At 41.7% G+C, this 11,862-nt stretch overlaps 1 protein-coding gene across 6 annotated transcripts in view; it reads right to left on the bottom strand.

The window, feature by feature from the left end:
- Nucleotides 1-6,967: 6,967 nt before the first annotated feature.
- Nucleotides 6,968-11,862, bottom strand: part of FGD5 (FYVE, RhoGEF and PH domain containing 5) — a 123,884-nt gene continuing 118,989 nt past the window's right edge. For all 6 annotated transcript variants that reach the window (XM_011533422.2, XM_011533423.2, XM_047447514.1 and 3 more), the window contains 2 exons: nt 8,808-8,962; nt 6,968-8,408 (listed from right to left, as the gene is read on the bottom strand). In XM_011533422.2, coding sequence (XP_011531724.2) covers nt 8,372-8,408; nt 8,808-8,962 — 192 coding nt within the window. In that variant the 3' untranslated portion in view covers nt 6,968-8,371. The remainder of the gene's footprint in view (nt 8,409-8,807; nt 8,963-11,862) is intronic.

Here is an 11,862-nt window from a genome sequence, read left to right as displayed (position 1 = left end):
AAAACTTATTTTCTGCTAGCATGGCATTAGGGAATCTTAGGATGTCATGATCCCTCACAGAGATTCCTAACTGATCCCCGTCTTCAGTCCCATCCTGGCCTTCCAAGACACCTGTGCCTCCAGTTTGTGAGCCTCCAGGGGCAGAAGCCCTTTTGTGTCTTCACTGGCATCCCCGTCTGAAGCACTTTGGTGATTATTTTCTTGTGTCTGCATGTTATATCTTCCAAAAATGGGTTGACATTTTCTATACCTTGTGTCTCCTCTAGAACTATCCTTTGGGTTATATCTTTTTATTCACTTGCTGGCTTTAGTGAATTTGAAGAGGGAGCTAAGAAATGCATGTTTTCTAGTCATCTATTGCATAATTAATCACACCCAAACTCAATGGCCTAAAGACTAACAGTCACTTTTTTTTTTTTTAATGAAAATCTTTTAATTCTAGGGGAGTCAAGTTGTTCTCTCTTGGCATCCCTCATGGTCACATGGCTGGAGTCATCTGAAAGGTTCCCTTATATGTCTGTGATTAATACTTGCTGTCAGTGTGAACACCTACATGTGGCCACAAAGTAAGATTCAGGGTCACATTGAGTAGTACTGTAGCTGCATTTTTAAAAGAGCTAATTTTATGCCTATAATAACTTTCATAATTATATGTGTTAGAATAATCAAGTCTCATGCTTTAGGGCATAGCCAATTACTGTAGCCTTCAAGAAGTAAGTTATTTTCTCATGTATGCTGCTCACAACAGGATAGCTCCATTACACATTCATGAATTCTAGTGTGGCATCATTAAGGGCTGGTAAGTACAGGCCACTGGATTTGAAGGACCACAGACTTACTGGAGATGACAATTCTTGAACATCCTGGTCTCCTGCTTGTATCTGTTACTTAGTTCTAAGGAGCATAGGGCTTATTGACTACACTTTATCACAAGATAGATTTTTGGATACAGCTGTTGATGAACATACCGAAGATGAGATTTGAATATTGATGAGAACTTGAGGTCATTTAGGGCAGTTTACATTTGAGTGGGTAATCTTTATATATAAACAAGGGTAGTCATCACTGTTGAAAATGCTTTAGGGCCACTTGGCATGAAACGTTTTAAAGTTCTACAATAGAACTTTAAAGAACTCTCAGTTCCTGAAGGATTTTTATAATGTATAATTTACAAATACAGATAAATGGGGTTTTCTCTTAATTGCTACAGTATCCATTTCCGAATCAGAAGAATTTGTGTAAACTTTACCATGAATTTTATATCTTTTTCCAAAACCTTGTTAGTTTTGAAGCCAGCCAAAAAACAAAACTGGAAACGTCATTACATTTCCATCCATTTTGCAACCCATTCCCAGAGTTTGAAAAACATGGCTCCAAGCTAAAACAAAAAACAAAAACAAAAAAAAAAAACTTGTTTTCAGCTTGCTTCATACAGATTTTATTTTGTGCAAGCCTCTCTTTTGCTCTTGTGGAAGTGCTGCCTCTCTACACTGGCTCTATCACAACAGCAGCATGAAAGACCATCAAAATTAGAGAATGAGGCATGTCATTCTGCTGTCAACACAGAATGCCCCTTCCGGTATGACAGCTTCAAATGATCTGGACAAGGAAGATCCCAAGTTCATGTAGAGAATTTGTTCTGCAGAATCTCATGTGATCACTAGGATATTATGAGGGTGGTCATAGGGTCATCAAACTTCTCCAGAGGAAAGTTTTGTGGAAGGAGATGTTTAACCGGCTGGGTGCCATGTTGGTGTAGTGCTGTTTCTACCTCAGTTAGTTATACTGGTTTTCCTCCTCAAATATTACTGTGGGCGTGTATTTCTCCTGTAATGTTTGGCATACTGTCATAGTCTAAAAGGCTTCTTATAATCTTGTCTGATGATACCAGTGCCAGTTCTCATGCCTTATAACATTTTCAGATACTCTTGGGTCTCACTTTCTTAAGCTAAGGATCTGAATATTCACTGCAGATACACCTGTAAACTGCCACTTCTACCACAGACTCAGTCTGGTGACAAACCGAGATCACTGCCAATGACTGAACTAAGTTTTTATTCGTTATTCATGGTGGCTGAGCTACCACCTCCTCTATCTTCCCTCCTACCTCCCTCCATCCTGCCTGTGCACAGAATCTCCTGAGGTGCTTGTAGAAACTGAAGATGCCTGGATCCCACCCGAGACTACCTACCCAGAGGGAACCCCAGGAGGTGAGGTGTGGGCCACAGGAGGAGCCTTGAGGAAGTCCCCTCTAGCTCTCGTAGAGGAACAGCCAGAGAGCCAGAGGGGACTTCCTCAAGGCTTCTCCTGTGGCAGGGAGGAGCAGCTTTGGTAGAGTGGGGCACTACCAAGGATAGGGCAGCCTTGGTAGAGTGGCCTCATTCTGGTTGTAGCATGTTGCAAATTTGTGGTCTCTTGCCCCACACTGCTTTGACTTCACATGACCCACAGGCTCTGGAGTGTGCATTGCTTGCATTGCCTTATGTTTCTGAAAATAGTCCCCCCTCCCCGGGAGGCGCATCCCCCAGGACACAGAGGTGTTCTGTGAACATGCACATCCTCTTCTTGGAACTGTTGCAACAACGGTATGATGGCTGCCTTCCCAATACAAAACTTGTCAATTCACATAGCATACATGTTAACCATAATCTTCAGACTTGTCATATACAATACAGATTCTTAAGGGTTTGAGAATGTAGGTTGAGCATCCCCAATCCAAAAATTTAATCTGAAATCCTCCAAAATCTGAAACTTTTTGTGCACCTACATGACGCTCAAAGGAAATGCTTATTGGAGCATTTCAGATTTTCAGATTAGGGATGCTCAACTGGTTAAGTATCTGCAAATATCCCAAAATCTGAAAAAAATTCTAAATCCAAAATACTTGTCCTAAGCATTTTGGATAAGACGCTCAATCTGTAGCAAGTAACTAAGAATTTATGAGGTTATTGTTGTTTATAAATTCATCATAGAAATTCTGTTTCCTCATACGAGAAAAATGTGCTAAATCCATGAAGTCACTTAGACTCCTCATATTTGAGTACGCATCTTAATATGTCAATGAATAACACTAGGAGTGTACGTTAAAAAAATTTTTTTAAAGCATGTATGCTTAGGGTTTTAAATATCTAGATTCCCACATTCAATTGAGGTAAATCTTGTGCATCTGATTGTAGAAAAAATAGAATTATATTCATTTTTACAATATATTGAATTAAAGTTGGGTTATGTGCATGGATTGTAAACTGTGATAAAATTTAATGATTTTTGCTTGGATAATGAAATGCAAAATTGAGTTTGTCTTAGTGTCCTATTTATTCTGACTTCAGAGGAAAAGGTCCTAGTGATTGGTCCTCTGCAGCCAGAGATTTCTGTCAAATTTAGGAAATAATTCACATTGCAGGTGTCAGAGAATTGCTCCTAGTGTCAGCTCATACACATTCAAAAGAGACATTATAGTGAAGCAGTTACAAAGGTGGGCTTTGCCAATTTTGTGTGTGACCCTGGACAGGTGACTTCATATTTCTAATCCCATTTCCTTACGTGCAAAATGGGTAATAACTTACCTCAGCAGGTCCCTGGGAGAATTAAATGAAAGAACAGGGTTAAAGTGCTAGACACTTCTTTGTTGCTAATAATCATACAAAGGTCTCCTAAGAACCTGAGAGGTCAGTACTGTTTTGCTACTGATTTAACAATTGTCTTTCATTAGGAGCCTAAAAGATCAGTGATATCAAATCAGCTTTCCCCGTGCCACTTACCTTAATACTTAGCAAACATATATAACAGATGCCTAAATAATTGCCCTGTGAGTATTCTATTACAGATCATCCCCAAAATATAGGAAAAAGCATAGCCCTTGCACTCTGTTAATCCAAACTATAGTCTTTCCAGAAGATTTGGTCCAGAGAGTGGACATTGGTGAATCCCCAGCAGCTGCCCCCACAGCTGACTGTTCGGTGCCAATCATGGTGGTCCCTCTTACGAAGATTAAGCTCAGGAGTTGGCAGGTGTAAGTAAGTGTGAACCTGGAGAATGGGAAGGGCCTGTGGGTGCTTCTAAGAAAAAGCTAGCTACACGAAGCCAAGCTGTCCTTGGTGGCTGTGAACAGGGAATTTTATAGTGTAGCCCCAACCATCAGTGGCAGTCAGCAATAAACTGCTTGGGAACCAACCCTGGAATCAAGCTGACACTGCATGGCAAGTCAGAAAAACCAAATCCCCCTGCTTTTGGATCTCCTTTTAACTGATTTCCAAATTGTTTAAACCAGATTGAGATTGGTTTCCATTTACCTGCTGCTGAAAACAGACATCTTAGTGTAGATATATCTGTCCTCTCCTGACCATGAATGTGTGGAGGCACAGAAGCTTCCATGATCATAGAAACCACAAAACAGGCTGGGGGGCAGTGGCTCATGCCTGTAATCCCTGTACTTTTGGAGGCCGAGGCAGGTGGATTGCTTGAGCCTAGAAGTTCAAGGCCAGCCTGGACAACATAGTGAGACCCAATCTCTACAACAAAATAGCTGGGCGTGGTGGCACATGCCTGTGGGCCCAGCTACTTTGGAAGGCTGAGGTGGGAGGATCGCTTGAACCTGGGAGGTCGAGGCTACAGTGAGCCATGACTGCACCACTGCACTCCAGCCTGGGTGACAGAGTGAGACCCTGTCTCAAAAAAAAAGAAAGAAAGAAAAAAGAAAAACCAAGAAACACAGGCTGAATCAACAGAAGAATATTTGAGCACATTGTTGACTGACCTGCATCAGAAAGAAACTCAGGTTCCAAGCCTGGTCCTACCACCTTAGCCCAGGTGGCCTCAGTCACCATCTAGGGCTTGCTTCTGTGTTCAGTGTATACTGCTGCTGAAAACAGAGCAAATGAAAGGCTGGACTGGAGGGAAAAAGGACTCTGTCACCCTTCAATTGCTGCAACAGGGTTGCTGGGGTCCTCAGCACTGGCCTGCATGGTGCACGCCCAAAGATCAGAGCAAGCATCAGCCCATCGGGCCACACATTTTCCCAGAACCAGGCTGCATACAAGGGAGAATAAGTCTATTAGCTAGTCAGCCTGCTCAGAAAAACTTAAAGCATATTTCTGATATGTAAAGGAATTATTATTATTAGAGACAGGGACTTGCTCTGTTGCCTAGGCTGGAGAGCAGTGGCATGATGATGGCTTGCTGTAGCATCAACCTCCTAGGCTCAAGTGATCCTGCCTCAGCCTCCCAAGTAGCTGGGACTACAGACGCGCATCACCACACCTGGCTACTTTTTGTATTTTTAGTAGAGACAGAGTTTCTCGCCATGTTGCCCAGGCTGGTGTTGAACCCCTGGGCACAAGCAATCCACCAGGTGTGAGCCACTGCGCTCAGCCAAAAGAATTATTACGACCCAGGAACATACACTACTGTTTATGTTTCTGGTGTGCTTTGTATTAGTAATAAGGAAAAGAATTCTTCCTACTTACTAAGACTAACCCAGACTCAAGAAACACATTCAATCTGCAGGGAAAGTGTGAAGCCAGTATTCATGTGAAATAGGTGCTGCTTGTTTTCAGTAAAACTTTGAGTTTTATTATAAACCTTTATTGATTCTGAGAAGCAGGCAGAGGCCAACCCTGTGAAGGTCTGTGCTTTCCTGAGGTAATTAAAATGAAAGAGAAGATTAGATTCCATGACCAAAGTTCAGCCTTACTGTGTTAGGGTTTCTCTTCCTTGCCATTTTTTTTTTTTTTTTTTTGAGACATGATCTCACTCTGTTACCAGGGTAGAGTGCAGTGTCATGATCATAACTCACTGCAGTCGTGACCTCCTGGGCTCAAGCAATCCTCCTGTCTCAGCCTCCTAAGTAGTTAGGACTATAGGCATAAGCCACTATGCCTGGCTGATTTTTAATTTAGAGTTGGGGTCTCACTATATTGCCTGGGCTGGTCTAGAACTCCTGGACTCAAGCAGTCCTCCTGCCCCAACCTTCCAAAGTGCTGGGATTACAGGCATGAGCCATCACACCTGGCCCCAATTTTCATGGATAAGGAAAAAGGTCTTCTGTGTATTGTCTTCATTTTGTGCTGTTAAAGAGCAGGGCCCACGACTTTGATAAACCAGTGGGGAAGGGCATGGTGTTATTATACAAAGTAAAAGTAAAGTTATGGGCCCTGCTCTTTTCAGACCACTTTCACAAACATTCCATTTGTGCCTTTTCCCCTGAACCTGTGGGAGAAGCTAGGATGATCTCCATGTAATAGAAGAAGACACCAAAGCTCAGAGCAACTTAAGTGAGTGGCTCGTCTATGCTGCTTCTTCCTGATAAACATGGCCTTTGCTGGGGGTGCACAGTAAAGGGGCTGCTCTGTGCCCAGTGAGCAGAGGGGCAGAGCAGGTATTATGGGGGACTTCGAGCAGCATCTCCGTGGTGTCATGGCTGGTCATATCCCCAGCATCTGGGTCCAGTGGGAAGGAGCACCCTCTGACCGGGTGGGATGGCTTCATCCCTAGTAGAAAAGGTAGCAGAAATTGGCCTGAAATGAGTACACAAAGAACCACAGGAAGGACTTGTAATACAAGGTCCAGATAAAAAGGTAATCCCTTGCCCAGTCACACATGAGCCCCTGCCAGTTTCCTTTTACAAAACCCATCCAGTGTGTTTTTCATCTATAACCCAGACATTTTTATTAGGGTAACTATTCACTGAGAAATAAAAGCCCTATTACCTCTTTACAGAGCATCCAAAATAGGATGATGATATAAAGTAAAAGAGGCCTTCTGATGACTTTCAGACCCGTGATTCTATCTGGAACTCAGAAACTGACCATGGGCAGCAATGTGAGCAGACTGGGGAAACTTCCCCCTGCCTGGTACTGAAGTCCTGCTCTGCTCAACAGCTCTAGGAAGCCCATTTCAGTGTCTGATGATGAAAATGATTCAGTTGGAATTAAGCCCTCAAAAATTAACAAGAACACTGTCTAATCACTTAGTGTGAACCATTAGTTACATGTTTAATGCAAACATTTTAAAAGAACTGCAAACTGGAAAAAAAAATTCCCCTGAAAATATTTAATGCAAGTAAGTCCAGAGATGGTGCTTTTTACAAAAAGTTTGTCAGCAAATTCCCTTTTTTGTAGGGGACAGGGCAGCAACAGAATGGGGACAGGATATCAAACAATTGATTTTTATTGCAGTAAGAGTAACAAGGAATCCCACCCCTCACATGCCCTTTGCTTTATGTAAAAACCTGTCCAGCAGAATAAGCAACAGTCACCCTCAGGAGGCGATTTAGCCCCAAGTGCCCATAGAACAGCCTCAGGCCACGACTTCTGTGCTCCCTCGCTGTTCCCAGAGCCATCTGCCAAGACCAGGAATTCACCTTTGGAGTCTAACTTGTTTTCTCTTTTTTTCACCTCTCAAAAAATAAAAAGCCTTCAGTAATACAGCCCAAGGATTACCGTGTGTCTAAAAGAAGGATAGATTCCCATAAACAATGTTGTCAGCTTGAGTGAGGTAAACACAGAAAGGCACACAATAAATTAAAGCAGACCTTGACTCTTCAGAGGCCCTGCGGTGACGTCTGGGGGGCCAGATCTGCCAGTGGCTGCATTTCCAGCACTGACATAGTGTTGAGGACTGCTCTGGGGGAGGAGGGACCCCTCCTTTAATAAGTTATGTTAGTATACAGGTCACAAGGTCGACTGGAGGAGAAAATCCTCCCCTTCCTATCTGGTGGGGCGCAGCCCCTCTAAAGTGATGTGTGCTTGCACACCAGCAAGCCACAGCCAGGTCTGCACAAATCCATTTTATGTACACCCTTGTTAGAAAACTGGTGGCACATTAGTCCACAGGATTCCATCTGTTATTGACTTAAGTAAATCACTTAGAAAACACAAAATTGGAGGTTGCAGCTCCGTAAAATAATAAAGTGCTTTCGATGAGAGTAGCTGTTACTGATAGCTTCTCATTTCACCTGAGGCACCACAATCAATTTTTGAAAGGTGATAAGATTTATCATGAGTAAAAACTGTAAGAGCTTCTTTCTACTAAAAAGCCTGCATTTCTAAATGTACTTTTCATTGGTTTCCACATCTTCATCTTACTAAATTTTAACTCACTGCGGGGTAAGGAAATAGTTTATTACTGGGTGGCGGGTGGGGGTAGGGGTGGAAAACACAGAAAAGGAGAGGTCCATAAATATCCCTTAAGGATTCCATTCATGAAGATGTTGGCAAGGGCAGGGGAGTGGTGGGGCGGTTATAGCAAAAAAGGTCAGGCCTCATTGCTGAATCCAGGTGTGTGTCCGGATGAGTTGAGCCACAGCTTAGCTTCTAAAAGCATTCACATATTGACCTAAGAATTTGTTACAAGTCCACATGCTTGATAACTGCTATAACACACTCGCATCTTCCATGGCCTCGATCCACCTATAAAACAAAACAGGGAGGACATTTGGTTTTGCGGCTCTGCCTATGACTCTGGTCACAGAACCTAGAAAAGACTGGACTAGTAGATTCCTCTTAGTTTGAAGTCAAGGACCATGTCGTAATTGTATTTGTTTCTCAAACATGTTTTCTATATTCAGCAAAAGGCCTGGAACACAGGGCAAAAGCTTACTGAATCAATGCATCCTTGATTCATGAATGAATCAAAACAGTCTAAACATGATTGTGACAAAGAACAGGTAGTTCTGCAGTTCTGCTATGGCCCAAAGGGACCTAATGGGATAGGATGAATGGAGCAGAACAGAAGCCAAAGCCCCAAGAAACAACTTGTTGCCTTCTGAGAGAACAAAAAGCTATAAGACTAATTAGTTCTTTTCGTACCTCTGAGCTGAATTGGTATCTTCTGCTTTGAAGCTATAAAATAGGGTTTTCTTGTGGTAAAGGTGAAAAATAGGTCCTACTTCACTGCTGCCCTCTTCCTTTTCTGGAGCAATGGTGAAGCCTAGCAGAGGCATACTCTCCAAGGCCACTTTGTCCTGCAGAGGACAGAAGGAAAAATTGACATTAAACACCACACTCTGCATAGTCATTTACTGTTATCTCCAATCTGAGATGCGTGAAGAGTGCCTCTGTGTGGGGTGTGCTTTGGCACCTTCGGGCTCACCACACACAAACTGTTGACCCTCGCTTCCCCCCAGAGCCAGCCCTGAGGAAGGAAAGAAACGACACTGGCTGGGTGTGGTGGCTCACGCCTGTAATCCCAGTACTTTGGGAGGCTGAGGCGGGTGGATCACCTGAGGTCAGGAGTTCGAGACCAGCCTGGCCTACATGGTGAAATCCCATCTCTACTAAAAATACAAAAATTATCTGGGTGTGGTGGCAGGTGCCTGTAATCCCAGCTACTCGGGAGGCTGAGGCAGAAGAATGGCTTGAACCCGGGAGGCAGAGGTTGCAGTGAGCCGAGATCGCACCATTGCACCCCAGCCTGGGGGGCAGAGTGAGACTCTGTCTCACATATTGTCTCAACATATGTGACGTATGTTGAGACAATATGTCTCAACATATTGTGACAGTTTATCAGGGACCAGGCAGTTACATCTTCATTATATTTAATCTTCACAACAATCATAGAAGGTGTCACTCCCATTCTAAGAAGAAACCAAGGCTCAAAAAAGGTTAATTGCCCAAGATCACACAGCAGTAAAGAGCAGATCCAGAATTTGCACTCATGACCACCTTCTAACCCCACATTCTTTCCATGGATTTCATCAGTCAGTGACTCAGTTTTGCAGTTACTTCTGATCACATATTCTATACTCATTCTTCCAAAACCTCATTTACAGTATTTCAATATGGAGCACTTGCACTGTCTGTGCTATAAAGTTGCTAACAATTTGATGAGATATACCCAAAGAACACAGATGGATCTTACACACATAGTGCTCAGTGGAAAAAGATTTTTATATATAGGTAAAGACATTTTTATACACAGTTATGTAAAAACATACATGTTCATAAACAATACAGACTTTGTAAAAACACATAAAGAGATATAATTAAGCATATTAGAATGGTGGTGGGAGGAAGAAGAAGGGGAGTACGGTTTGTGTATAGAATAGAATCAAGCTGGGCACAGTGGCATGTACCTGTAGACCCAGCTACACTCAAGGCCAAGGCAGGAGGACTGCTTGAGGCCAAGAATTTGAGTCCAGCCTGGACAACATAGTGAGACCTCATCCCTAAAACCCCAGAAAACTAAGAAATATTTTTTTAAAATAAAAGGAATCAATTCTCAAGGATTGCTAGATCAGAAAAAGCCTTTGACAAAATTCAATATCCATTCATGGTAAAAACAAAAACAACAACAAAAAAACAAACCTCTTAGCAAACTAGAGTAGAAGGAAACTTCATTAACTAACAAAGGGCATCTATAAAATACCTACAGCTAACATCATACTTAATAGTGAAACACCAAATGCTTTTCCCTTAAAATTGGAAACAAGGCAAGAATGGTGTTCACTCTCATCAGTTCAATTCAACATTGTACTGGAGACCATAACTATTACATTAAGGAAAGAAAAAGAAAGAGATAAAGATCAGAAAAGAGGTAGAACTATTTGTGCTTGCAAAAGAAAAAAAACAAAATAACTACTAGAACTAAAAATCAATTTAGAAAGGTCACAAGATAATCAGTTTTTATGTGTATATAGTAGCAGCAAACAACTAGAAAATAAAATAAATGCCATTCACAATGGCATCCAAAAAAATATTTAGAAATATATTAATAGAAGTATAAGATGTCTACACTAAAAACTACAAAACATTAAAAGAGAATTCGAGGCTTAAATAAATGAAAATTTATGTACCATGTTCATGGATTGAAAGATTCAATATTACAATGCCAGTTCTCCCCAAATTGGTCTATAGATTCCATAATCCCTATCATAGAAATTGATAAGTTTATATGAAAACATAAAAGGCCTAGAATGCCCAAAACAATTTTTTTTCTTTTTTGAGACAGAGTCTGGGGAAAAAAAAGTCTGACTGGAGTGCAGTGGTGTGATCTCGGCTCACTGCAACCTCTGCTTGCTGTGTTCAAGCGATTCTCATGCCTCGGCCTCACAAGTAGCTGGAATTACAGGTATGCACCACCACACCTCCCTAATTTTTTCTATTTTTAGTAGAGACGGGGTTTCATTGTGTTGGCCAGGCTGGACTTGAACTCCTGGCCTCAAGTGATCTGCCTCCTTGGTCTCCCAAGTGCTGGGAGTACAGGCGTAGGCACCTTTCCAGCCTTGAAACAGTCTTAAAAAAGAACTAGGTTGGAGGACTTACACAACCTGACTTCAAGACTTACTATAAAGTTACAGTATTTGTGACAGTTTGGTACTGGCATAAGGATTGGTAAATATATGAATGAAACACAATGGAAAGTCCAGAAATAGACCTCTATTTATTCAATCATTTGAGACTTAACAAAGACACTGAAGCAATCCAATAGGGAGAGGCAAGTCTTTTCAACAAATGGTGCTGGAACAACTGGATATCCATAATGAAAAAAAGGAACCTCAACTCCCATGTCATACCACACACAAAAATTAATTTGAGATAGACCTAGAAGTAAAAGCTAAAACATTAATGCTTTCAGAAAATAGAGGAAAATAACTTTGTAGCTTGCGTAGACAAAAATGCCTTAGCACACAGAAAGCAACAGTCATAAAAGGAAACACTGACAAAGTAGACTTCCTCAAAGTTATAAACTGCTGTTCACCAAAAGATTCATTCATTCATTCATTAGAAAATGAACAGGGAAGCCACAGACAGGCAGAGAATATTTGTAAAACATTTATCTGACAAAAGCCTGGTATACAGGATACAGAAAGAAATCCTATAACTTAATCACAGTACAACCTACTTTAAAAAAAGTGGACAAGAG

Source organism: Homo sapiens, chromosome 3, assembly GCF_000001405.40.
Source record: "Homo sapiens chromosome 3, GRCh38.p14 Primary Assembly".
In the NCBI taxonomy this organism is placed as follows: Eukaryota; Metazoa; Chordata; class Mammalia; order Primates; family Hominidae; genus Homo; species Homo sapiens.
Note: the sequence above shows the minus strand (reverse complement) of the source record. Positions and strands in the feature narration are given on the sequence as shown.